This window comes from Homo sapiens, chromosome X (genome assembly GCF_000001405.40).
Source record: "Homo sapiens chromosome X, GRCh38.p14 Primary Assembly".
In the NCBI taxonomy this organism is placed as follows: domain Eukaryota; kingdom Metazoa; phylum Chordata; class Mammalia; order Primates; family Hominidae; genus Homo; species Homo sapiens.
In genome coordinates this window covers 135,615,940-135,640,972 of record NC_000023.11, presented here as the reverse complement: position 1 = coordinate 135,640,972, position 25,033 = coordinate 135,615,940, and the positions used below count along the sequence as shown (strand labels likewise).

Here is a 25,033-nt window from a genome sequence, read left to right as displayed (position 1 = left end):
TATATCCTCCTGCTTTATGAAACAATTTCATAGAAACTGAGCATCAGAGGGATATACTTGTGAGTTGGCATAGTGCACTTACCTCACAGCTCAACCTCTTCCTTTGGTTTCCAGATGCTACCGTCACTCACAATGTCTATGAACAGAAGATAGAAAATGGCCAACCAGCACCTGATAACGTGTTGTTGACTCTTCCACCAGAGCTTATTAATATGACAGCCACTGATATTTCATCCATGAGTACCAGGGATCCGTGTACAAATAAGTTTGCTTATTAGTATTACCATCCTACTTGGTTTCCATATGCATGCATAGTGTCAAAAAGGGTGGGAGGTGGTTTTGTTGTATATTTCCTGGTGTCAATTTCAGGGATCTCAGATGGCAACCTGCTCTATGCTCCCGCTTTATGACATAATTTCCTAGAAACTGAGTATCAGAGAGATATACCTGTGGGGTTACCATAATACACTTACCTCACAGCTCAGCCTCTTCATTTGGTTTCCAGATGCTACCATCACTTACTACGTCCCTGAAGAGAAGATGGAAGATGGCCAACCCCAATCTGATAACGTTTTTTCAACTGCTCCAACAGGTCTTAATATGACAGGAGCTGATATTCCAGCCATGAGCACCAATGATCTGTGTGTGTTCGCTTATAAGTCGAATTGTCCTGCTTGGTTTCCATATGCCTGCATATTGTCATGAAGAGGAAAGGAAGTTTTGTTGTATAATCTTTCTTGAGCTCAATTTGATGCATCTGAGATCACCTCCTGTCATGTCCTTCTGCTTTTTGCAATAATATAATAGAAGCTGAGCACCAGAGGGATATACCTGTGGGACTGACATAATGTGCTTCCTCACAGCTCAACCTCTTCATTTGGTTTCCAGGTTCTACTGTCACTTACAATGTCTGTGAATAGAAGATGGAAAATGACAAACTGCAACCTAATACGTACTGTCAATTGTTCGACCAGTGGTTATTTATTTGGCAGCAGTCGGTATTCTGGGCATGAGTACCAGATATCAGTGTATTTTGTTTACTAGTTGTTCTGTCCTAGTTGATTTCCATATGAATTCATAGTGTCATAAAGGGAAGGAGGTGGTTTTGTGGTATTCTTTTTTGTGAGCTCAATTTGAGGTGTCTCAGATCATCAACTGGTGTATCCTCCTACTTTATGGGATAATTTCCTAGACCCTGAGCATCAGAGGGATATACCTGTAAGGTTGACGTAATATACTTACCTCACAGCTCAACCTTTTCATTTGGTTTCCAGATGCTACTGTCACTCACAATGTCTGTGAAGAGAGGATGGAAAATAACCGACCACAACCTAATAATGTCAGGTCAACTCTTCCACTACGGCTTAGTTATTTGGCAACAGCTGGTATTCCAGCCATGAGTACCAGGGATCAGTGTATGTTTGCTTGTAATTTGAACTGTCCTACTTGATTTTCATATGCATGCCTCATGTCATGCATGGGAGACACGTTGTTATCTTTCATGAGCTCAATTTTAGTGTTCTCAGATCACCACCTGACATATCCTCTCCAGATTTATGAAATAGTTTTCTAGAAACTGAGCATAAAAGGGATATACCTGTGGGCTTCACATAATGTTCTTAACTAAAAATTAACCTCTTCATTTTGTTTCCAGATGCTACTGTCACTCACAATGTCCATGAAGAGAAGACAAAAAATGGCCAACCAGCACCCGATAATGTCATCGCAACTGTTCCACCAGCACTTACTAATATGGCAGCAGCTGGTGTTTCATCCATGAGTACCAGGGATCAGTGTAAGTTCGTTCACTTGTTGTACTGTCCTACTTGGTTTCCATATGCATGCATAGGGTCATGAGAGAAGGCAGTTTTGTTGTATTACCTTTTCTGGCCTCAATTTTAGGGTTCTCAGATTGACACTTGTTGTATCCTCCTTCTTTATGAGATAATTTCCTAGATACTGAGCATCAGAAGGGTAAGCCTGTGTGGTTGACATAATGCGATTACCTCATAGCCCAACCACTTCATTTTCTTTCCAGATACTGCAGTCACTCACAAAGTCCATGAAGAAAATATAAATAATGGCTAACCAGCACCTGATAATGTCTTGTCAACTGTTACATCAGGGCTTGTTAATTTGGCAGGAGGTGGTATTCCACCCATGAGTACCAGGGATAGGCGTATGTTGGTTTACTAGTTGTACTATCCTAATGTTTCTTTTCTAGTTCTACTATCCTACTTGGTTTTCATATGCATGCAGTGTCATAAATAATGTGATTTCATTGTATTGTCTTTCGCGAGCTCAATTTGTGTGGTCTCTGATCATCACCTGGTATTTCCTCCTGCTTTATGTGATAATTTCCTAGAAACTGAGCATGAGAGGGATATACCTGTGAGGTTGACATAATGCACTTTTCTCACAGCCCAACCTGTTCATTTGGTTTCTAGATGCTACCTTCACTCACAATGTCCATGAAGAGAAGATGGAAAACGGCCAACCAGCACCTCAAAACATCTTATCAAATGTTCTACCAGGGCTCATTAATATGGAAGCAACTGGTATTCCATCCATGAGTACCAGGGATCTGTGTATGTTTATTTATTATTTGTACTGTTCCACTTGGTTTCCATATGCATTCATAGGGAAGAAGGACAGGTGAGGAAGAAGGTGGTTTTGGTGTATTATCTTTCCTGGCCTCAATTTGAGGGGTCTCAGATCACCACTTCATATATCCTCCTGCTTTATGAGAGAATTTCCTAGAAATTGAGCATTAGAGAGATATACCTATGGGGTTACCATAATACACTTATCTCACAGCTCGACCTCTTCACTTGGTTTTCAGATGCTACCATCACTCACGATGTCCACGAAGAGGAGATGGAAAATTGGCAATGCCAACTAGATAACGTCTTCTCAACTGCTGCACCATGAGCTGGTATTCTGGCCATGAATACCAGAGATCTGTGTATGTTTGCTTTTTAGTTGGATTGTCCTACTTGGTTTCCATATGTGTGCATAGTGTCATGAAGGGGAGAAGGTAGTTTTGTTGTATTATCTTTCTTGAGATCAATTTGAGGAGTCTCAGATCGCCACCTGTCATGTCCTCCTGCTTCGTGCAATAATTTCTTAGAAGCTGAGTATCAGACGAATATACCTGTGGGGTTGAAATAATGCACTTACTTCACAGCTCCACCTCTACATTTGGTTTCCAGATGCCACCGTCACTGATAATGTCTGTGACGAGAGGATGGAAAATGACCAACCATAACTTAATAACGTCTTGTTAGCTTTTCCACCAGGGCACATTAACATGGCAGCACGTGGCATTCCAGCCATGAGTACCAGGGATCTGTGTATGTTTGCTTATAAGTTGGATTGTCCTACTTGATTTTCATATGCATGCATAGTGTCATCAAGGGAAGAAGGTGGTTTGGTTGTACCTTCTTTCGTGAGCTCAATTTGAGTGTTTTCAGATCGCCACCTGATACCCTCTCCTGCTTCATGAAATAATTTCTAGAAAACTGCAGGCTGGTCTCGAACTCCTGACCTCAAGTGATCCTCCCGCCTCGGCTTCCCAAAGTTGTGGGTTTACAGGCATGAGCCACTGTGCCTGGCCAAAAATCCATATATTTCTGCACAGGACAAATAGCTCAGTTGAAAGGGATGGCTGAAGAATCACACCAACCTGTGTCCTTCAAATGCTTGGTGTTACCACCAATTATTGCAGTCCCTCCAAGAAAGTAGTGTTGCTTGTGGATTATAGTTTTTATAATTGTGGCAGTTCTAGTGGCTTCTAATTGGCCTTTCCATCATAGTAGCCCTCACTTTGCGGGTCATAGAACCAATGTGGGGATTCTGCCAGTCACTGAGTATGATCCCAACTATGCATTCTGAAACTGGGAAACAACCAGAGGGTGGATTCATGGACCAACTTAGTCCACTGTACGTTGGACCTGATGTAAAACCACATGGATTACCTGATGTAAAATCACATGATTACCAGAAACTACAACTCTTATTAGAAGAGCATAGTGACATTTTGGGTATCCTGGAATTAGCACCAGTTCAGAGCCATTATCAAGTAATTCCTGAGAATTCTGATTATTTACTTCTCCACCATGACCTGCCACACTAATAATTGGCCACAGGTCTGTTGGGGAAGGTGGGGACAAGGATTAACAGCATTGTTATTTGGCAGTGCAGCATGATCTTTCCTCAAGGGCAAGCCTGCAGTAATGTCTGATTAAAGAAGAGAGCCACCACAATCTCCTCACAGATTTTTGGGCTCCCCTTACCAAGTAATTTCTTGCAGCCTTGGTGAAAGTCACATCATCTGGACATCCAGCGTGGCTGAGCAGTTCTTCCAGGATAAAGTCACTCTCACATTCCAATGTCCTTAAGCCTTTGGAGTATATCAAGGAAGTCCTTGAACTTCTCCTTAATTGACGATAGTCAACATTCGGTTTCTCATTTTAGCTAACCAACCAAGCAAACTGCTAGAGCCATCCTTATCCTCTCAAAGAGAAACACTGAATCCAGAGCCTTGGCTTAATGACCCTTGGCTTAATGACTATATAGCAATAAGTTTGGTGTGAATCAAATTAATTTTTCTTCCACCTCATACCCCACCCTCAAGAACTATTTGCACACAAAGTCTCTAGGTTTCTGCCTATCAGCATTAAAAAAATCAGTAGTTGTTAAGGTAAATTTTATGCCTACTAATGGGTCACACCCATGTACCCTCTAGTTTGGGGCTGGTGGAAACTTTAGTCTTACAGGGTTTTGAAGGAAGACTTACTAAAATCCGTGTCCCTCCTTTTTCTCTCACCTTGGAGGAGAGGGAACTCTGCAGAAGCTGAGCCCTTCAGAGCAAATCTAAATGCACAAGGCCCTTTACACTTGACTAAAGTTAGATGTCTCTTCCTCAGAGAGACCTTCCTTGACTACCAGGTTCAAAGTACCATCCACTCATGTTCCATCTCTCCACCTGATTTCTGCTTTTGGCCAATAACATATTCCATAGTTGCTCTCTTTCTTTAGTGCATTTGCCCTCAGCTGGAATGTAAGATTCATGAGAACAGTTTAGTTCACTGTTTTTTTTCATGCCTAGATAAGTACCTGGCACTCAGAGAGTTTTTAGTCAATATTGAATAAATGAATTACGGATTTTTTTTTTTTTACTATTCACCACAATCCTAGAGAATAGCTGCTGTTATCATCCTCTGTTTACAGAAGAGGATATGGAAACACAGAGAGGTTAAGTAACTAGTGCCAGGTCATAGGCATGTAAGTGCATACCTGCAGCAGCACCTCATCTCCAGCTCTGTCTTGAACCCAAAGCACTTTCCACTTGTCCAGTGCAGCCTCACCATACACTCCAGCTTTAGGCTCCTCCTGACACACAGCCTCTCATCCTGTTCTACTCATCACATGACCCTGATTCCAGAACTTTCTCCACTCACTCGTCTCTTATAGGGTCTCTCAGGAGAAGGAAGGCTTGGCTCCCATCTTCTGCTTCTGCCTCTGCCACAGCCTCTCAGCTCTGAGTACTCCTAGGAAGCTCCCTCCTGCCAGGGCCAAATTACCCTCACTCAGCTTATTGCTGGCCTTCCGGGCTAGACTTCACTCTGTTTACCCCAGAACAGATCACTGAAAATCAGCAAATGACCCATCCTGAACTTCGCTCTGCCCAAGAGCTGCAACGACTATTAGGTACTTGGCCATAACCATTTCCTATATGCCATACCAACCCAGGGAGGACATCTCATGAGCAATGAAAACATGCTGGGCATTGCCTATGACTTCTTACATTCATGCTCACCTTCAATCCCCACACAACCTTTTGAGATAGGAGCTATGGTTTCTACTTAACCCCTGAGGAGACTGAGCCTTGAGAGATTAAGTCATTTGCCCAAGGTCAGACAACTGGCTGGCAGCTGAACCCAGATTTAAACCCAGGTGTTTCTAATTCCACTGCCCATGCTCTAAGAACTCTACAGCAATGTGAGTCTACTACACAAAAGGGTGGCTAGATTTCTTACTAAACTGAAATCCACAAACTGAAAAGTGTGAAGATTTTGTGTTGCCAAGTGAAGAAGTCCATGGCAAAAACTCCTTTCACCTTAAAGTATGATGCACCTCTGAACCAGGTTCAAGAGACTGTAACAGAAGGCTAAGTGTCCCTTGGCAGATGCTTTATATTACTGCAACAGGGAGCCTGTATAAAAAGGGATGTCCTTACTTTTGAAAACCTACACCTAGAACAGTAGTCTCTTTTCCAAGGGAGATACTCAGAAAAATCAATTCACACTAAACAGTGGAGATTCTGCTTAAAGCTCAAGTCAAGCATCTTAAATCGGGCTGTCTTCCTGCCTCCAAAGTGCCTGTTGCCCTGTCCACAGGCTGCACTCCATGGCGGACATCTCTGTACCTTTTCAGTTTCTCCTGGGGGTTAGGGGTCATCAGAGTCTGTCTCTCTGTAGTTGTCACGCAGCACTGATGAGCCCTGCTAGTATCATTCATCTTTGCCCTCATCGTTAGTCCACAAATTTTCTGAGTGCCAACTATGCCCAGGCATGGTACAGACACTCGGAATGTTACACCTCTTTCACTCCTCCTGAGGATTCCATGGAGTAGAAGTTACTCACCCCATTTTACTGGTGAGGAAGTTCAGGCCAAAGAAGATGAGGTGATGACCCAAGTTGCACTGTCGGTAAATGGTAAATCCAAATCTTGACGGTTGAGGACAACCAGACAGGGCCACCAGAGCCAGCAGATGCTTTTAGGAGACTTGGTGAGGGGGGAATGGCAATAACCTGTGGTATAATGTCCCTGCCCAGGCTGCCATGCCAGACACAACCTGATGATTCTCAAAAGAGCTTTTGCTTTAAAGTAGGTCTTCTCTGATGGTGGAAAAGCATGGTTCCCACAAGGTTTTGCCCACTGATGTGTAGGCAGTCCACAAATATACTTGATGTTCTGCTTAAAGCTGACTTTCACAAGTGGGATATCCAACGTATGTAATGCATTAGTCTCAGAACCAGAATGAAGAAGTTTCTGAATAAGTTGTTACAGAACGTAAAATTATGTATGCAGAGATCTTTCCATTTGAGAAAGTTCCAAGTGCTCTGCAAGTCTTGTGAGAGAGATTAGTAAAAGTCATGCCCAAGGAAATGTAAAAAGGGGAATATAGATATTTGCCTTTTCCCAATGTCTGCTATGCAGCCAGTAGTGTGCTGTACAAAACTACGTTTGAACCCAAAGAACTAGTGCCTGCATCAGAACTCAGCTTAGCCACTGTGGGTTTTCTCTGAACTGTGAAGGAAGGACTTAGGATGGACTGGTGCTCCTGGGACACCGGAATCTGTCATCTACAAGGCCAGAGCTTGCTAGCAGGCCCTGGAGCCTCGATGTTGCAGTTTCCAAGGGGAGAGCCTAGAGCCCAACAAGCAGGCTTACTGGAAGAATCTAATCCAGTTGGTGCCCCTTGGGCAATCTCTTTAAGAAACAGGGAAGAAAAGGAGATATAAAGAGGAGGTTTTGGCCTCCTATGGAAAAATATGTGCAAGGTTTTATAAGTTGTAGAATTTGGAAAAATATATGGAATGGAATGTTCTGTAGACTCCAGGTTTTACAGGGTCCAGGAGTGCTTTTCAAGGAAACTGAGTAGCAGTGCAGTCCCACGAAGCTGGGCCATGTCTAGGGAAAAGGGCTTTAAGGAATTCTGTGAACACAGGCTGAGGGCTCATCCCCTGTGCATCAGCTAGCAAGTTGGCAGCAAGAGCTGCCAGGCTGTAGCTGCTGGAGGAACTGGGGGAATCATGGGCTTCTTCCTCGGCCAGCCCCAACTCCACAATGGGCAGGGTGGATATTGTGGATGGAGGGCAAAAAACAAAAACCCAAACCATATTCTTAGACTTTTCAACCAAGAAGGACTAAGGATGCAATCACAGAAGGGGCAGTTGGAAGAGCTTTGCATGGTGAGGCCCCTGCTTCGTATTCCCAACCTCACTTATTGTCACCCACCTGTCCCCCTCCCATCCATCCCTGTGCTGAAGGCAATCCAGCTTCTATGCCGTTCCTCAGACATGACAGGCATATGTCTACTGCTGGCCCTTTGTAGTTGCTCTTTCCTCTGCCAAAATAACTGTTTCCCATTTTGTCCATTTTCCTTTATTTTATTTTATTATTATATTTTTTAAATTTTTTGTAGAGATGGGGTCTTTCTATTTTGCCCAGGCTGATCTTGAACTCCTGGTCTCAAGCAGTCCTCTTGTCTCTGTCTCTCTCAGCTGCCCTTTTTGTTGCTACTTCTGTACTATTCATAATTATACTAGCCATGTGGGTTTCTCTCAATGTTCAATATTCAGGCTATTTTGCTGCTTAGTTTCACTTCTTTCTGGCCACATTTCAGACTCAGCGCCTTTGTTGTCACTCTGGCAATACTTGACTGCCACTTAGTGGCTATTGTGATTTATTTTCTAATCTGATTTTCTGTTTACAAAACAGAGTTTTGAGGGCCACATTAAGAATCCCTATCCCTCCAGACTTTGTTCATTTTCATACAACTTCAGATTGTCCTTTAACAAACTTTCTATGCTGAAAAAAAGATGTGCAGTCAAGCAGATGCCTGGTCCCAGGGATTGCATCCAGGCATTCCAGTTATTATAATTGGGCATAACGAATGGCAAACCAGTGAAGTAGGGAAAGTCTTGTCAGTGAGACATCTGGGCCCCCCAGCTGGCAGTGATGGCCACCTTGGTCAAGGCTGTAGATATCCAGTTCTGGTGAGACCTAGGATGGTGCATGGCAAACACCCGTGACCTCCTAGGGTCTCGGTTTGTGGGAATTCAAGCAGATGCCCTGTATTGCATCGTGGTCCAGCTTGGCTAATAGGGACAGCCATGACCTCCTGGTCTTCTGTATATGTGTCTGTCATTGCAGGATTCTCTTGGCACCACGGGAGCCATCTCCAATACTCTCAATGAAACACCCCTGGGATGTATATTTTAAAAGCTGGAATAATTTGGGTGAGATGAGCTAAAAAAGAAAAAAAACCCTTATCTTCTTTTGTAACACTGTTTAGCCTGGGAAAAAGTCAGCTAACAATGAAAAATGGCCAGAAAATGGAAATGTGAACTTTATTACCATCCTACAGCTAGATCTTTTCTGTACAAATCATGGAAAGTGCCCTGAAGTACCTTATGTGGAGGCTTTTGTGGCCTTATAAGAAAACCCAGCTCTATGTGGCACCTGTGGGCTGAAACCCAGTAAGCAAGGAAGCCACACAGATGCATTAGAAGATCCTCTTTTATTAAGGGAAGGGAACCCAGGCCCCATGACACAAAGATGGCTCCAGATAGGGGCTGTCAGGGACCCTCACTTCCTTCTGAGTCCCCAGCACCCCTGCACTACCAGAGTCTTCTGTGGAATATAATCCCATTTCACTTCCTGTTTATGCTCCTCTTTATGCTCCTTCGCCTTGTGCGTTGCAGACTAGCCTAGCTGGAATAACTCGCAGTGGGATTTCATACCATCCAGGGCCAGAGAATCTGCTCCCTTTATGGGAAGTCCAAATGGAGAAGGGACCATTAGAATACATGTTCCATTCTTAATGAGTGATCTAATCCAGTAAAAGCAAAACCGCAGATACTTCTCAGAAGAACTCAGTGCATTTACCAACGCATGCAAGGCTCTAACTTTGGCCTTTGACTTAACTTGGAAAGGTATACAAGTTGTCCTTTTTATTGCTGTACTCCACAGGAACAATAGAGAATCTGGCTAGCCAGTCAGGGATACATAGATAGCAGGGCAGCTGACCAGCCTGCCACCCATGAAGTGGCAGCTACTGCTGATCTCTCCCAGGACCCACATTGGAATTACAACATTGGAATTCCTCCTTTATCTGGAGGAATAAAGAATATGGATGGACTACATGGTGCAATGCCTCCTGGCAGGGATCAGACAATGTGTTAAAAAATCTGTTTCTTAAGAGAAAGTCAAAGTAGTCCCACAGAGAAAACATGTAAACCCTGCCTTCTTTCAGGGGAGCTTAAAGGATACTTCCAAAAGTATACCAACATAGACCCTACATCTGCTGAATGCCAAGTGTTACCAGGACAAAACTTAATTGGCCAGTCTACTCCAGATATCAGGAGAAAACTATAGAAATTACAATAAGGGCCATAAACACCTATACCTCAATTATTAGAAATGGCTTTTGGAGTGTTTCGTAATAGGAATCTGGCTGAAGAGGAAGGCAGACTCCAGCACAAGAACTGGTGAGATACAGCCCAGTCTAAAAAGATAGCTGTTTCTGTCAGTAGTGTCTTGGAACCTCAAGTCACCCCCAGGAACCTTGAAGCTTGGAAGCCGGTCAACAAACAATCAAGGAGCCTGCTTTAAATGCAAACAATCAGAGCACCAGGAAAGAGGGTGCACCCAACTGCCCCTGGGCCATGCCCAGTCTGTAAACAGGATAGCCACTGGGGAATGGATTTTCCTGAGCCCTGAAGGGGAAAGGGGACATCCTCCTTCAAGATGGCACTAACTCAAGACGGAGGAGGCTAAGGGATCCAGACAGCCCCCATTGAAAAGGACATTCCAGTCACCGATCTGGAACCCTGGCTGACCCATGACATGGTAGGTAAGAATACTGATTTTTAAAATCAATACCGGGGACTCCTACTCTGTATTAACTTCTCAGTTGGGTCAGTGACCTTCAAAATTGTACCATAGCTGGGGTCAATAGGAAACCCCGTTCTTAATATTTTACTTCCTTACTCACATGTCACTAAAGAGATCAGTTAAGTAACACTTCTTGTTGCTTATTCCTGAGTGTCCTACCCTGCTTTTAGAGAGCGATTTATTAAATATCATGGAAGGCATCTAATCACTGAAAGGCACCAGTCCCTCCCAAATGGTCCTCACTGCAGGGCCAACAGATCACCTCCCTATATCAATCTTAGAACAAGTAAAACTTGCCGTCTGGGATGACAGGGTACTCAGAAGAGCCCTTTGGGCTGAACCCATGGTCATTAAAATACAGGACCCCAATAGGTACCCCAAGGAAAACCAATATCCCCTAAAGTTAGAAGCTAAAAAAAGATTGAAGCCCTTAATTTCTAAATTCTTACAACATGGCTTACTAGTGTCCTGCCAATCACCTTGTAATACTCCTATTCTGCTAGTCATAAAACAAAATGGAGAATATCCAATGGCACAAGACATGAGAATCATAAACGAGGCAGGAACCCTCTTCATCCCTTAGTAGCTAATACCTATACCTTGTTAACCAAATTCCAAGACATTGCCAATGTTGTAGCGTACTAGACCTTAAAGAGGCCATCTGTTTGTATCCCAGTGCACTTGTCCTTTCAGTTTCTATTTGCCTTTGAATGGACAAATATAGGAAACGCCCATGAATAGTATTGCTCCAGGGCTTTCAAGATAGCCCTCACCTGTTTGCACTAGCCCCAGGCAAAGATCTTTGAGAATTACAACTTAGTTAAGGCAGCCTCCTACAGTATTTAGGTAACAACTGAATATGTAATCCAACCCAGGAAACACCTGACAGGAATACCATTACAGTCTTAAATTTGCTTGGAGCAAGCAGATATAAGGTTTCAAAAAAAAGGGGGCACAATTAACCAAACAGAGAGTAACTTACTTAGGGGACATTATAACCCCTGGAACAAGGAAGCTCTCAGGGGAAAGAAAACAGGCCATACCAGAGTTGCCTGGTCGCCAAACCAGGAGACAACTCTTAACATTTCTCGGAATGTCTGCATTCTGTAGAATTTGGATTCTGGGATTTGGACTAATGGCTCATCCTTTATATGATGCCATTAAAGGGCCTGACACTGAGCCCTGCGATGGCAAAGAGAACAAACCAGGGCATTTCAAGACATAAAAAAGGCCCTTGTTGAGGCTCCTGCCCTGGAAATTCATGACTTGGAAAATCTATGCACCTTATATGTGGCAGAGAAACAGGGAGTCCTCGCCAAAAACTGGGAGAACCACCTCATCCAGCTGACTACATTTAAAGCACATGGACTTTGTGGCCTGTGGATGGCCTGGTTGCCTTAGGGCAGTCACAGCCACTGCCATTCTGGTGGAGGAAGCCCTAAAGCTGACTTTTAGACACACTTTAGAGGTCCTCATTCTGCGTCAAGTGCAGGGAGTTTTAGAAATAAAGAGCCACTATTGGCTCTCAAGAGGAAGACTCACCAAACATCAGGCTCTCCTCCTGGACTCCCCAAGGTTACTATAAAAACTTCTGGCACCCTCAATCCAGCTCTGCTCATGCCAGTCAATTCCTCAGAGAACCTAACTCATTCCTGTATTAAAACCATAGACCAGGTCTATTTAGATAGAATAGATCTCAGAGATACATCTTTCAAGAATCCTGATAATGAAAGGTTCACTGATGCCAGTAGTTTTATGGGAAATGGAAAAAGAAGGGCAGGATACACTGTGGTTAGTGTGCACCAAACAACAAAGGCCCAGGCACTGCCACCTAGTGCCTCAGCACAAAAAGCAGATTGTCCTTGCCACAAAAATTGTCCTGGCCAGGGCCCTGGCTCTAGATCAGGGAAAAACACTAACATATACATTGACTCCAAGGATGCCTGCATTGTCCTTCATACATATGCTGCCATCTATAAAGAATGGGGTCTTTAAATGCAAGGGATTCCCCATTGAACATGGAACAGAAATACTGCAGCTTTTAGAGGCTGTGCATGATCTTAAGCAAGAGGATCAAAAATATCAAAAAAGAAAAAGGATCAGAAACATCAAAAAGGAAACTCCTCAGTCTCATCGGACAATGCAAGGGCTGGCAGGGAAGACAGGATGGCGACTATGGAAGCTGTAGCCCAGCTGGCCTTATTCCTCTCTGCCCATTCTCTTCATTTTATTTTATTTTTTATTTTTTTGAGACTGAGTCTCACTCTGTCACCCAGGCTGAAGTGCAGTGGCCTGATTTCAACTCACTGCACCCTCCTGGGCTCAAGCAATTCTCCTGCCTCAGCCACACTAGTAGCTGGGAATACAGACACATGCCATCATGCCGCTAATTTTTGTACTTTCAGTAGAGAAGGGGTTTGCCATGTTATCCAGGCTGATCTCGAACTCCTGGCCTCAACTGGTCTGCCTGCCTTGGCAGCCCAAAATGCTGGATAACAGGCATGAGACACCATGCCCATCCCATTCTCTTGGTATAATCCGTCCTATACTATGGAAGAAATAGCATGGGCTAAAGAAAATCAGGGGAGCCTAACACCTGAGGGTTGGTGGCTCGTAGGCCAAAAGCTCTTGCTTCCTCAGTCCCATCACGATAAATTGTCAAAAATTTACATAATTCCATCCATATGGGCAGGATGCTATGACCACCTGGATGGACCATGACTTTACAGGTAAAGGCCTGGCAACCACAATAAAAAAGGTCACTCTGGCCTGTGAACTTTGCTCTCAAAATTACCTTGGGGGAAAATGAACAACAAAAAAACAACGGCCAGGTGCGGTGGCTTACGCCTGAAATCCCCACACTTTGGGAGTCCGAGGAGGGAGGATCACGAGGTCAGGAGTTTGAGACCAGCCTGGCCAACATGGCGAAACTCTGTCTCTACTAAAAATACAAAAGTTAGCGGGGCATGATGGCACGTGCCTGTAATCCCAGCTACTCGGGAAGCTGAGGCAGGAGAATCGCTTGAACCCAGGGAGGCGGGGATTGCAGTGAGCCGAGATCGCGCCATTGCACTCCAGCCTGGGCGATAAAGCGAAACTCCGTCTCTGGAAAAATAAACAAGCAAACAACAACAACAAAAAAACAAGGGTCTCCTGCTTTATTAACCTCAGTCCAGTGGCGAGGAACCTATCCTGGTGACTACTGGCAAATTCACTGCACCCAAATACCCACCTTTCAGGTTTTTTAATACCTTTTAGTTTTTGTAGACACCATTCTGGAATGGGTAGAAGCTTTCCCCACCAGAACAGAGAAAGTTACAGAAGTGGCCAAGGCACTGCCAAAAGTGATCATACCAGGATTTGGCCTCCTCTGCTCCTTGCAAAGCGACAAAAGACCCTGTTTTCCTGCAACTATAACCTAATAGATAGCCCAAGCTTTGGAAATTAAATTTCATCTCCACTCCTCATGGAGGCCACAATCCTCCAGCAAGGTTAATAGGACTAATCAAACTTTAAGGCAGACACTGGCAAAACTGTGCCAGGAAACTTCTGAGTCTTGGTACACTCTGTTGCCTATAGCCCTCATGAGAATACGAGTGGCACCCAAAGAAAAGACAAAACTTAGTCCGTTTGAGATGACTTCTGGGAGACCCTTCCTTACCTTAGACCTGTTTATCAAACTGGAAACCCAGTCTACTATATAATAGATTCAAAATCTAAGCCAGGGACCAGGCGTGGTGATTCCTGGCTGTACTGTCATCACTTTGGGAGACCACGGGGGGCAGATCACTTGAGGTCAGGAAATCGAAACTGGCCTGGGCCACATGGCAAAACCCCCGAAATACAAAAATGAGCCAGGCAAGGTAGTGGGTTTGTAATCACAGCTACTCAGGTGGCTGAGGCAGGAGAATCTCTTGAATCTGAGACGCGGAGATTGCAGTGAGCCGAGATTGCACCACTGCACTCTATCCTGGGTGATAGAGCGACACTCTGCTATCCAGATAAATAAATAAATAAATAAATAAATAAATAAATAAATAAATAGATAAATAAATATAAAAAATCTAAGCCTGGCACAGCAGGCTATCCAGGAATATAGCAATACAGTGCTGCCCTCACCTGGACAAATGATAAACATCCCGCAAGTCCTGCCTGGAGACTGGGTCCTATTAAAAACTTGGAAGGAAGCCCCCCACCCTGGCAGATCTGCTTCTTCCTAAATGGAAGGGTCTTAGCAAGTACTACCAACCACCCCAATGGCTGTCAAGCTTCAAGACATAGCAACTCCGGCTCATATGATCAGAATTCAACTTTGCAATAAACCTTTACAGGAACCAGAGGAAGCTACTAATTACACCTGCCAGCCCATAGGAGCTCTAAAACTTCTATTCAAGAACACAATTCCAGATAAAGCCCATCTGGAAGATAAGTAACATCTTCATTTCTTGGTACTTGCCTGCTGCACTCTAATGACTTTTAGAGAGACTGGCCTATCTGCTGGGGAAGTAATTAACCATACTGTTAGTCTATTAAACTTAACTGAGGCCTGGGAGCTTTGGCTCACACCTGTAATCCCAACACTTTGGGAGGCCAAGGCGAGTGGGTCACCTGAGGTCAGGAGTTCGACACCAGCCTGACCAACATGGTGAAACCCCATCTTTACTAAAAATACAAAATTAGCCGAGCGTGGTGGCGCATGCCTGTAATCCCAGCTACCTGGGAGGCTGAGGCAGGAGAATTGCTTAAACCCAGGAGGTAGACATTGCAGTGCACCGAGTTTGTGCCATTGCATTCCAGCCTAGGCTACAAGAGTGAAACACTGTCTCAAAACAAGAACAAACAAACAAACAAACAAAAACTTAACTAAACCTTGTTGACATTGCATAAATACCAAAATTTGGGGATATGACAGATCTGGGCCATTATAAGACTGGCCTGGCTCCTAACACATCTCCAGGGACAAACTCACTGGCCCACAGAATGGGGATATCAGCCCCAACAGTCAATACACATTAGTAAATTCAATGGGAATTTGGAAGCATTAGCTATTGTCTGCCTTGCTCCCTTTAACACTGCCAGTCATTAATATATTTTAAGCTTTAACTTTTGGTCCAATTTTGTTTAAAATGCTGATTTCTTAGTTTCTTGCTTACAGCAATTTCAGCTCCACATGACGGTTTTGCAAGGCTTTTAACCTTGGTCTCCTGATGAGCTATCTCAGGTCTTGTGCACCAGTCCCGTGAACAACATGGTTCACACCGCGTTAGATCAGGCAGGAAGAGACTTTAGGGCCCAGGCTAGGCAGGGACAACGCCCCACTCAGCAGGAAGCAGCTTCAGAAGAAATGACCTAGCCCCTCAACCTCCCATATGATTATAGGCCCTAAGATCTCTTAGGCGGAATTGAGGCAGGGTAAGTAGTCAAGGAAGTGACCATGCCCTTGGCATGCAGCAACCGTGGGGACCATACAGCCAACACAATAAGCCTCAGCATTCACATTGTAGTTAAGCTCATTCAAGCAAAGCTATCTTCAGTAGGGAATTTCCTCTGTAGAGAGCATGTGCACTTTGATTTCACCTGTCCTCAAACTGACCCTTTGCTTATTGTAATAGTAAAAAACACACCCCTGGGTGGAGATTTAAAATGCTAATGAGACATGTGATGTATGAATGAGCATGGATGAGCATGTACACCCAGAGGACCACCCAGAACATGTTTGCTAGTAACACATCTTCCCACTTCCTTAAGAATAATCATGTAAGACTCCCATAAAGGGAGTTTCCCCAGTAATAATGAATGCTGTCTCATCCTTATGACCAGCCAGCCCTGAATCCTCTCTGTGTTTCTCAGTGTGTATTCTGCAGCTAACTTTCAAAATATTCTTTTTCCTTTGCAATAAATTACTCTATGCTGCATCTCCTTTGCTATGTGCCTCTTGTTTAAATTCATTTAAACTAAGAAAGCAAGAACCAATGTCTCAGAACAGCCATCAACAACACTCCAAAATATTCTGCCACTTTTGTTGATTTCATCACCTTCTGCAAACCATCATCTATTAAGCTATGAGTCTGCATATACATACCATAATACACCTCCATTTTGGAAAAGCATTATGCTGGAACAGGAAATTCTCATGTTTCCAAATTCTATTTCAATTCTTCCAATCTGTGAACCCACTTTTTTGAGTTTCATGCATCTGATTCTGTCGTATTACTGCTAAAAATAATTATTCACAGAGAACCAGATAAAGACATATATTATTTGGAATAAATGTCTTTTTTTTTTTTTTTTTTTAGACAGGGCCTCACTTGTTGCCCAGTCAGTGCACTATTGGGATCACAGCTCACTGCAGCCTCGATCTTCTGAGCCCAAACAATCCTCCTGACCTCCTGAGTAGCTAGGGCTACAGGTGTGCACCACCACACCCAGCTAATTTTTGTATGTTTTGCTGAGATGTGGTCTCGCCATGGTGCCCAGGCTGGTCGCATACTCCTGGGCTCAAGTGATCCTCCCGCCTCAGTTCCCCAAAGTGCTGGGATTACAGGTGTGAGATATCGTGCCCGGCCACACACCTGTATTTTAAAAAATCTCCAGTCATTATATGAATACATTAGAATCTGCATGTTGTTCTTGGTTTTGTCCATATTCTTTCCAGTAAACCCCTTTTGTTTCATTAGCTCAAACGTCAACATGTTTCTGAAATATCTAACACTCTCCTTCAATTTCTTCTCACGATTTCAAAAAGTTTCCTTAGTTTTCAGTGGATTTGAGGGTAACTCTATTCTAATAATGTCAATGACAGGAAAACATTTATTTTCAGTAGCTGCAATACTTTCTTCTAGTCACTCTCATAACTGAGTGAATCCTGTAATTCTGATGAATTTCCACATGCATTTTACTTCATTCTTGAACATTACATCACTTACCTTTGGTGCCTTAACTCTCTAAATAATTGTAGCATAATTGACAAAAATATTTACTTTTAATTGATATAGTCCATGTAGAATAAATGTGCTAACACATAATCAAGTAATTTAAATTAATTATGGATTCTTTTGAAATATTTAGTCATTACACCGATGTACATAGAAATTTATATAAAGATAAAAAATAAATAGTTATGAAGAGTAAAAAATTTCACACCAGGCTTCTGAACAAATCTGACTTTAAAAAACTCTTGAAAATTAATTAATTTTCTTTTTTCTTTTTTCTTTTTTTGAGACGGAGTCTCGCTCTGTCGCTCAGGCTGGAGTGCAGTGGCACAGTCTCGGCTCACTGCAAGCTCCACCTCCCAGGTTCACGCCATACTCCTGCCTCAGCCTCCCGAGTAGCTGGAACTACAGGCACCCGCCACCATGCCCGGCTAATTTTTTGTATTTTTAGTAGAGATGGGGTTTCACAGTGTTAGCCAGGATGGTCTCGATCTCCTGACCTCGTGATCCGCCCTTCTCAGCCTCCCAAAGTGCTGGAATTATGGGCGTGAGCCACCTCGCCCGGCCAAAAATTAATTTTTTAAAAATGAAGTGAACACCAGTGTAATTTTCATAACTGCCTTCAGTGAATAAAGTACAAAAGTTTCTTGATAATTGCTATTTTCCTTGGAAAGAATACTTTTTCAGAAAATGTTTCATATTTGATGAAATTCTATTTCTGAAAAGTCAAATATTTTAAGGAATAAAATTTTCACGACCTACTTGAGGGTTCTTTAGAATATTTTCAAAAATTGCACAGACATATTTGTAATTAAATCAAACTATTTCTTTTTTCCACCCTGTGGCAATATGGATTGCATGAGCATAGAAAGAGAACAATTGCCAGCTTCCCTCAGAAGGAAGCAGTGGCCTTCACAGAAAATTGCAAGTGAGACGTTTTTAAGTAGTAGGACTGTGGCACCCACGTGTCCCCTCCACGTGCACAATGTTCAGGGCTCTGCAGGTGCAAGGGCAAATCCTGCCTTTATTTTAAATTTTGATATATTGTTCATTGTGGATGTTTTGTATTAATTTTGATTTTTGAAAAATTATGGCAAACTACTCCTCATCTTGATTACCAAGTGCCTTGCTTTCCCCCAAAATTTTGCCTCCTTCATCTGAACCAAGTCCTGGCCCTACCCTGCCTGCTTCCCTGCAGACTTCTCAATGTGTGATGTCTTCGGCTACTCCCACAGGCAGGGAGATTCTCTGCTCATTGCAACCAGAGGCACCCTAATGCATAAGATGGTGAAATGCCAACCATGTGGCCTTTTCGCCATCATCTCCCCAGTGTCTAGGAGAGAACCAGCACTGGAAAACCCTTGAGGAACATTTGTTGAATGAAGGAAACATCATAACGAGTGTCTGAAGATTGCTTTAAGCTCCTGATGGGAAATGATTGGTGTTCCAACAAAGTGGCTTTCAAAAATCTTTAGAATAAAAGAATTACAGAAACACACCGCTCTTGTGGCCAGGGAAAGCAATCTCCCCAGACACGACTGTCAAGGCCACAAGGAACGTCAGACATCAGTTATCCCGGGATTGCCATTTTCCAGAGATATTACAAATGAGGCCCCAAGAAGGGAAAGACAAATCTCAGGTCATAGGCAGCTAGGGCTGGAACAGAGTCTAAGAAGCCAAATGTCCAGCCTGCCTGCTGCACAGGGCTGCTCCTTGCCCAGACCCAGGAGCCTCAGGTATTTGGGGTGAGAGCCTCTCTGCTTACTGAGGGCAGCATTTTGGCAAACGCACCCTCACTGGGTGCTTCCACTCTATTCTTGTAGCACAAAATATGGTTTAGCAAGTCCAGAAATGTTTCACTCCTTGTCCGGTATTATACTGAGATAATAGCCTTATACAGAGAGCATAGTCCTGTAAAAATACTATATCCGACCAATTTTACATAACAGCTCCCTTTTATACAGATGTTTAACATTAGATAGAAATTTAACATTATGTATGCATATATACACACATATATGTTTGTGTGTGTGTGTGAGATCATGTGACTGCGTTTTTCTCTATACATGTTTATTATTATTATTATTATTATACTTTAAGTTTTAGGGTACATGTGCAAAATGTGCAGGTTAGTTACATATGTATACATGTGCCATGCTGGTGTGCTGTACCCATTAACTCGTCATTTAGCATTAGGTATATCTCCTAATGCTATCCCTCCCCACTCCCCCCACCCCACAACAGTCCCCAGAGTGTGATGTTCCCCTTCCTGTGTTCATGTGTTCTCATTGTTCAATTCCCATCTATGAGTGAGAACATGCGGTGTTTGGTTTTTTGTCCTTGCGATAGTTTACTGAGAATGATGATTTCCAATTTCGTCCATGTCCCTACAAAGGACATGAACTCATCATTTTTTATGGCTGCATAGTATTCCATGGTGCATATGTGCCACATTTTCTTAATCCAGTCTATCATTGTTGGACATTTGGGTTGGTTCCAAGTCTTTGCTATTGTGAATAGTGCCGCAATAAACATACGTGTGCATGTGTCTTTATAGCAGCATGATTTATATTCCTTTGGGTATATACCCAGTAATGGGATGGCTGGGTCAAATGGTATTTCTAGTTCTAGATCCCTGAGGAATCGCCACACTGACTTCCACAATTGTTGACCTAGTAGGAAGAATCAATATCGTGAAAATGGCCATACTGCCCAAGGTAATTTATAGATTCAATGCCATCCCTATCAAGCTACCAATGACTTTCTTCACAGAACTCGAAAAAACGACTTTAAAGTTCATATGGAACCAAAAAAGAGCCCACATCGCCAAGTCAATCCTAAGCCAAAAGAACAAAGCTGGAGGCATCACACTACCTGACTTCAAACTATACTACAAAGCTACGGTAACCAAAACAGCATGGTACTTGTACCAAAACAGAGATATAGATCAATGGAACAGAGCAGAGCCCTCAGAAATAACGCCACATATCTAAAACTATCTCTAAACATGTTTTTTAAAGATCAGGAGGAACTGTTTGCTTTCAGCTGGCAAGGCCAGCAAAACCCTTTTCCTTCCTACCTCAGTCTTACATCAACTCTCTAAGTGATACAGGCAGGAGGCAAAGAAACTCTAGGCAGACAAGGGTGAGTCCTTGGTGCAACCCCACCTTCAAGCTGAAAAGCCTGAAGTGAGGACTTCTATCCCATCTTGGCCACTCCCTGCCAATTGGTTTTTTCTGAATAATATTTTTTTACCAATCGAATTTTGCCTTTCCCAAAACCACCTATGGCCCATCCTGCCCCATGTCCCATGTTTGTAAAGACCCCAGATTCAGCCACTAGAGAGGAGAAGCAGCCGGACATCAAGGAGAAGTGACTTGACTTCAGAGATGACAGCTAGAGGTCGGGCAGAAGCAATTTGACTTCGGAGGAGAGAGGCAGAGAGGCGATTTGACTTCAGGGGAGAGTGACCTGCCCTTCACGTCCCCTTTCCAGCTGCCTTTTCCCCTGAAAGCTGCTTTCATCGCAAAACAAAATTCTCTGCACTCACCATCCTTCAATTAGTCTGTGTGACCTCATTCTTCTTGGGCACCAGACAAGAATTTGGGACGCACCAAGTATGAGTACCCAAAAAGGCTGTCACACTGGCCCTTTGCCCTTGCTGATAGAGGGCAGCCACCCCATGCAATGAGGCAAAGGTCCCACTGAGCTGATAACACACTGCTGTCCATGGATGGTGGAGCTAACAGAGCATTGTAACATGCACTCTGGGGCCTTGGGGTTGCAGGCACTCCTACCCAGATGGTGCCACAGTGCCTGCATGGAGGTTGCTCCTGCCAGCGCCAAAGCAGCTGGCCAGTTGCCACACTCACTTGTCTACATGCTCCATCCCGTGAGAGGTGAGGTGTGGTGGGCCCAAGGAAAAGGAGTTTGCTCCTGCTGGTGCCAAAGTGGCTGGGCACCCCTGTCACGAGTCCTGTGAAGGGGTCAAGAAAGTATCCTGCATCATAAACTTATGTCCCAAACTAGTCCTTAGGGATCTTGATCTCCTTTCCTTCCCACCATGTGACACCATTTCTTTGCATTGAGGACGTTATGCTGATTGAGCAGGACCTAGCAACTACTCTAGACACACTGGTAACATACTGACATGACAACCGAAGTATTAATTTGCACAAAAAATCAGGGGCCTTTTAACTTAGTGAAATATCAACATAGTACTTATCAGGTGAACAGCAAGTAGGTACATCTCACCCTTCCTACCATTCAAAGGGGACACGCAAAATATAGTGGGCCTCCTTAGGTTCTGATGGTGGTAACATGTACCTCATCGAGGTGTGCTGCTGTGACTTATCTTCTAATGACCGGAAAATCTGCTACTTCTGAGTTTGGCCTAGTACAAGAAAAAGCTCTCTGAATCCACACCTATGGCTCCAAGGGCAGCTTCCTTAGGAACAGAGTTGTCAGAAAAACAAACAATAAAAAAATCCCTAGGCCTGGCTTACTTTTCTTTCTTTATAATGGGCTGGCAGCACCGCTGTTAATTTTCTATTGCCACATAACAAATTACCCCAAATTGAGCAGCCTAAAACAACACACATTAATTATCCACACTTCTGCAAGTCAAGACCAGGAAGGTTTGACCGGCCTCTCCGCTGACTGTCTCCCAAGGCCAACTCAAAATGTCAGGCCGGGTGGGTGCTGATGTGGAGACTGCGGAATAATCCACTTCTAAGCTTATTCAGGTTATTGCTCATTTAGACCTAGTTCCTTAAGGTGGTAGGAATGTGGTTCCCATTTTTTTGCTGGCTGTCATCCAGAAACTGCACTAAACACCTAGAGCCATCCTATACCTTCTTGGGAGCACTGCTTTATCCTCAAAGCGGGCCTGCTGTGTCACATCCTTCTTGCACTTTGATTCCCTTACCTCTTCTTCTGCTCCTTGGTAAGGAAAATGCTCTGCTTCTCAAGGATTCCCCTGCCAGGTCTGGCCCACCCACACCACATTCGTGTCTCAGGGTCAACTGGCTTGAGACATTAGTTATCCAGCAAAATCCCACCATAGCAGTATTGGGATTATTGCTTGATCGAGTATACAGGAGATGGGAGTCTGGGGAATCAGACTACAGCTGTCTCAGTCAGCTCGAGTTGCTATCACAGAATACCACAGACTGGGTGGCTTCATCACCCATTTCTTTCTCAAGGTTCTGGAAGCTAGAAATCCAAGATCAGGGTGCCAACATGCTCAAATTCTGGTGGGGGGCCTCTTCCTGGCTTGCAGTCAGCCACCTTGCGGTAGCCTCACACGTTGAAGAGGCATGGAAGAACAAGTTCCCTTTTCTCTAATTATAAGGGCACTAATCTCATCATAGGGACCCAAACATCATGAACACATCTAAACCTAATTACCTCCCAAAAGCTCCACCTCCAAATATCATCCCACTGGGAGTTAGGGTTTCATCATATGAATTCTCAGAGGACACAAATATTCAGTCTGTTCATAATGCCTGTCTACCACAAAAGCCAGAAGCGGACAGCTTCATTACGACAGGCCCAACTGGGATAGCTCTGAAGGACAGTGGTGAAGGGAAATCCTCCAAGAGGGAAGATGCTTGAGCAGTGTTTCTGTGTGGAGGAGAGATGGCCAGACTATAAGTATGTATCCATGTTTAGGCCGTGTCTCGTTTATTGGCTGTATGATCAAGGACTTTGTGGACACATGATTGAAAATTTATGACAAGGAGGTCTGGGAAAAAATATGTGGATAGAGTAGTCCAAATGGATATACAATGTGAAGATACTTAGGTCTCATGAGAGTTCTCAGCAAAGGGTAACCTCTGTAGAGCAGAATTTTAATAATCTGAAGGATAAAGTACCTATTATCTAGATATTAATCAGCCTCTTTCCCCAACATTGGTGTCATAACCTCGTGAGCTCACAGAGTGGCCAAGGTGACCAAGGATAGAGATTTTGCTTCAGTAGCATGGACTTCCACTCACCAAGGCCAACCTGGCTACAGTTGATAGAGACATGAGACAGCCAGGGGTCCCCGGTGAAACCCCGCCTTCAAGCCTAAAATGGCCTGAAGGTTGAGAAACCAGACTGCTGCTACCGAATGAAACCTGCAGCCAGAAGAACTGGCACTGTTTGCTAGCCCATTCCCAACTGATTCTTTCTTAATATTAGCATCGTGTGTACTGGGGGAAGGGTGTGGAGCCATGGGAAGTTTGCACCTTGTGCAGGGGTGGCGGTGTGGAGCCTGGTCTCTTCGGTTCCTGTGCGGTGGCCCGGAATCAATCTGTGAGATGGGGGCCTCTTAGCAGGACTCCCTCTCACTTTGCCGAGAGATTTTTTTTCCTCCCTATTTTTCTTTTTTAACCAATAAATTCAGCTCCTCACCCTTCAATGTGTCCGCGAACCTAATCTTCCCCGTTCGTGTGAACTCGGTTTTAACTGAACTAAGGAGCAAAATTCTGCAATTAGTCATTGCTGAGTGTACAATCTGCTAGAACAGAGAGCAACACTGAGTCTCTTATATGGCACCTGTCTCCAGCGTGATCAGCCAGTTACCAGATGGCAGGTGATTACATTGGACCACTTCCACTATGGAAGGGACAGGGCTGTGTTCTTACTCAAATTGACACTTATTCTGAATATGGATCTTCCTTCCCAACCACAGTAATTTCAGAAAATCAACATTTGTGCACTTAGAAAATGCTTTATTTACCATCATGGTATTCCACACAGCATCACCTCCAAACAAGGCACTCGCTTCCCAGAAAATAAAGTGCAGTGATGGGCCCGTGTTCATAGGAATTCACTGGTCTTATTATTTATATCTCCCTATCCCCCATCATCTTCTTTATAGACATGATACTGTCTTGGCCTCATTGTTTTTTGATTCCAAATCAGCCTCCCAATGTGTCCCCCATAATCTGAACCTGACTGGATGAACAGAAACTGAAATGGTCTTGTACAACTCGGTTACAGTGCTAGCTAAGTGGCAATACCTTGCAGGTCTGAGAAATTACTTTTAGAAGCAGTGTTTGCTGTATGTCTGCATCCAACATAGTCTGCTTTCTCTCCAATAGTCAGGATTCATTCGTCTTAGAACGAAGGGGTATAACTGGGAGTGTCTCTACTCACTTTCCCCGCCGTGAACCACTAGCATAAGTGCTTCCTGTCCTTCTGATTTTAGGCTCTCCTGTACTAGAAGTCTTAGTTCCAAAGGAAGAAATGCTTTTGACAAGGGACACAACAGTGACTCCATTGAAAAGAGATCGATACTGCCAGCAGGCCATTTTGTTCTCTTCATCACTTTCCATCTAGAGGCAAAGGAGGGGGTCATCTACTGGCTGGGGGTGATGAACCTGACAACCAAAGGGGGATTAATTGCACTACACCAGGGGCTAAAA

At 43.8% G+C, this 25,033-nt stretch overlaps 2 pseudogenes; one reads left to right on the top strand and one right to left on the bottom strand.

The window, feature by feature from the left end:
* On the top strand, nucleotides 2,041-3,349 carry SAGE3P (sarcoma antigen 3, pseudogene; annotated as a pseudogene).
* Nucleotides 7,330-25,033, bottom strand: part of SAGE4P (sarcoma antigen 4, pseudogene) — a 34,840-nt pseudogene continuing 17,136 nt past the window's right edge.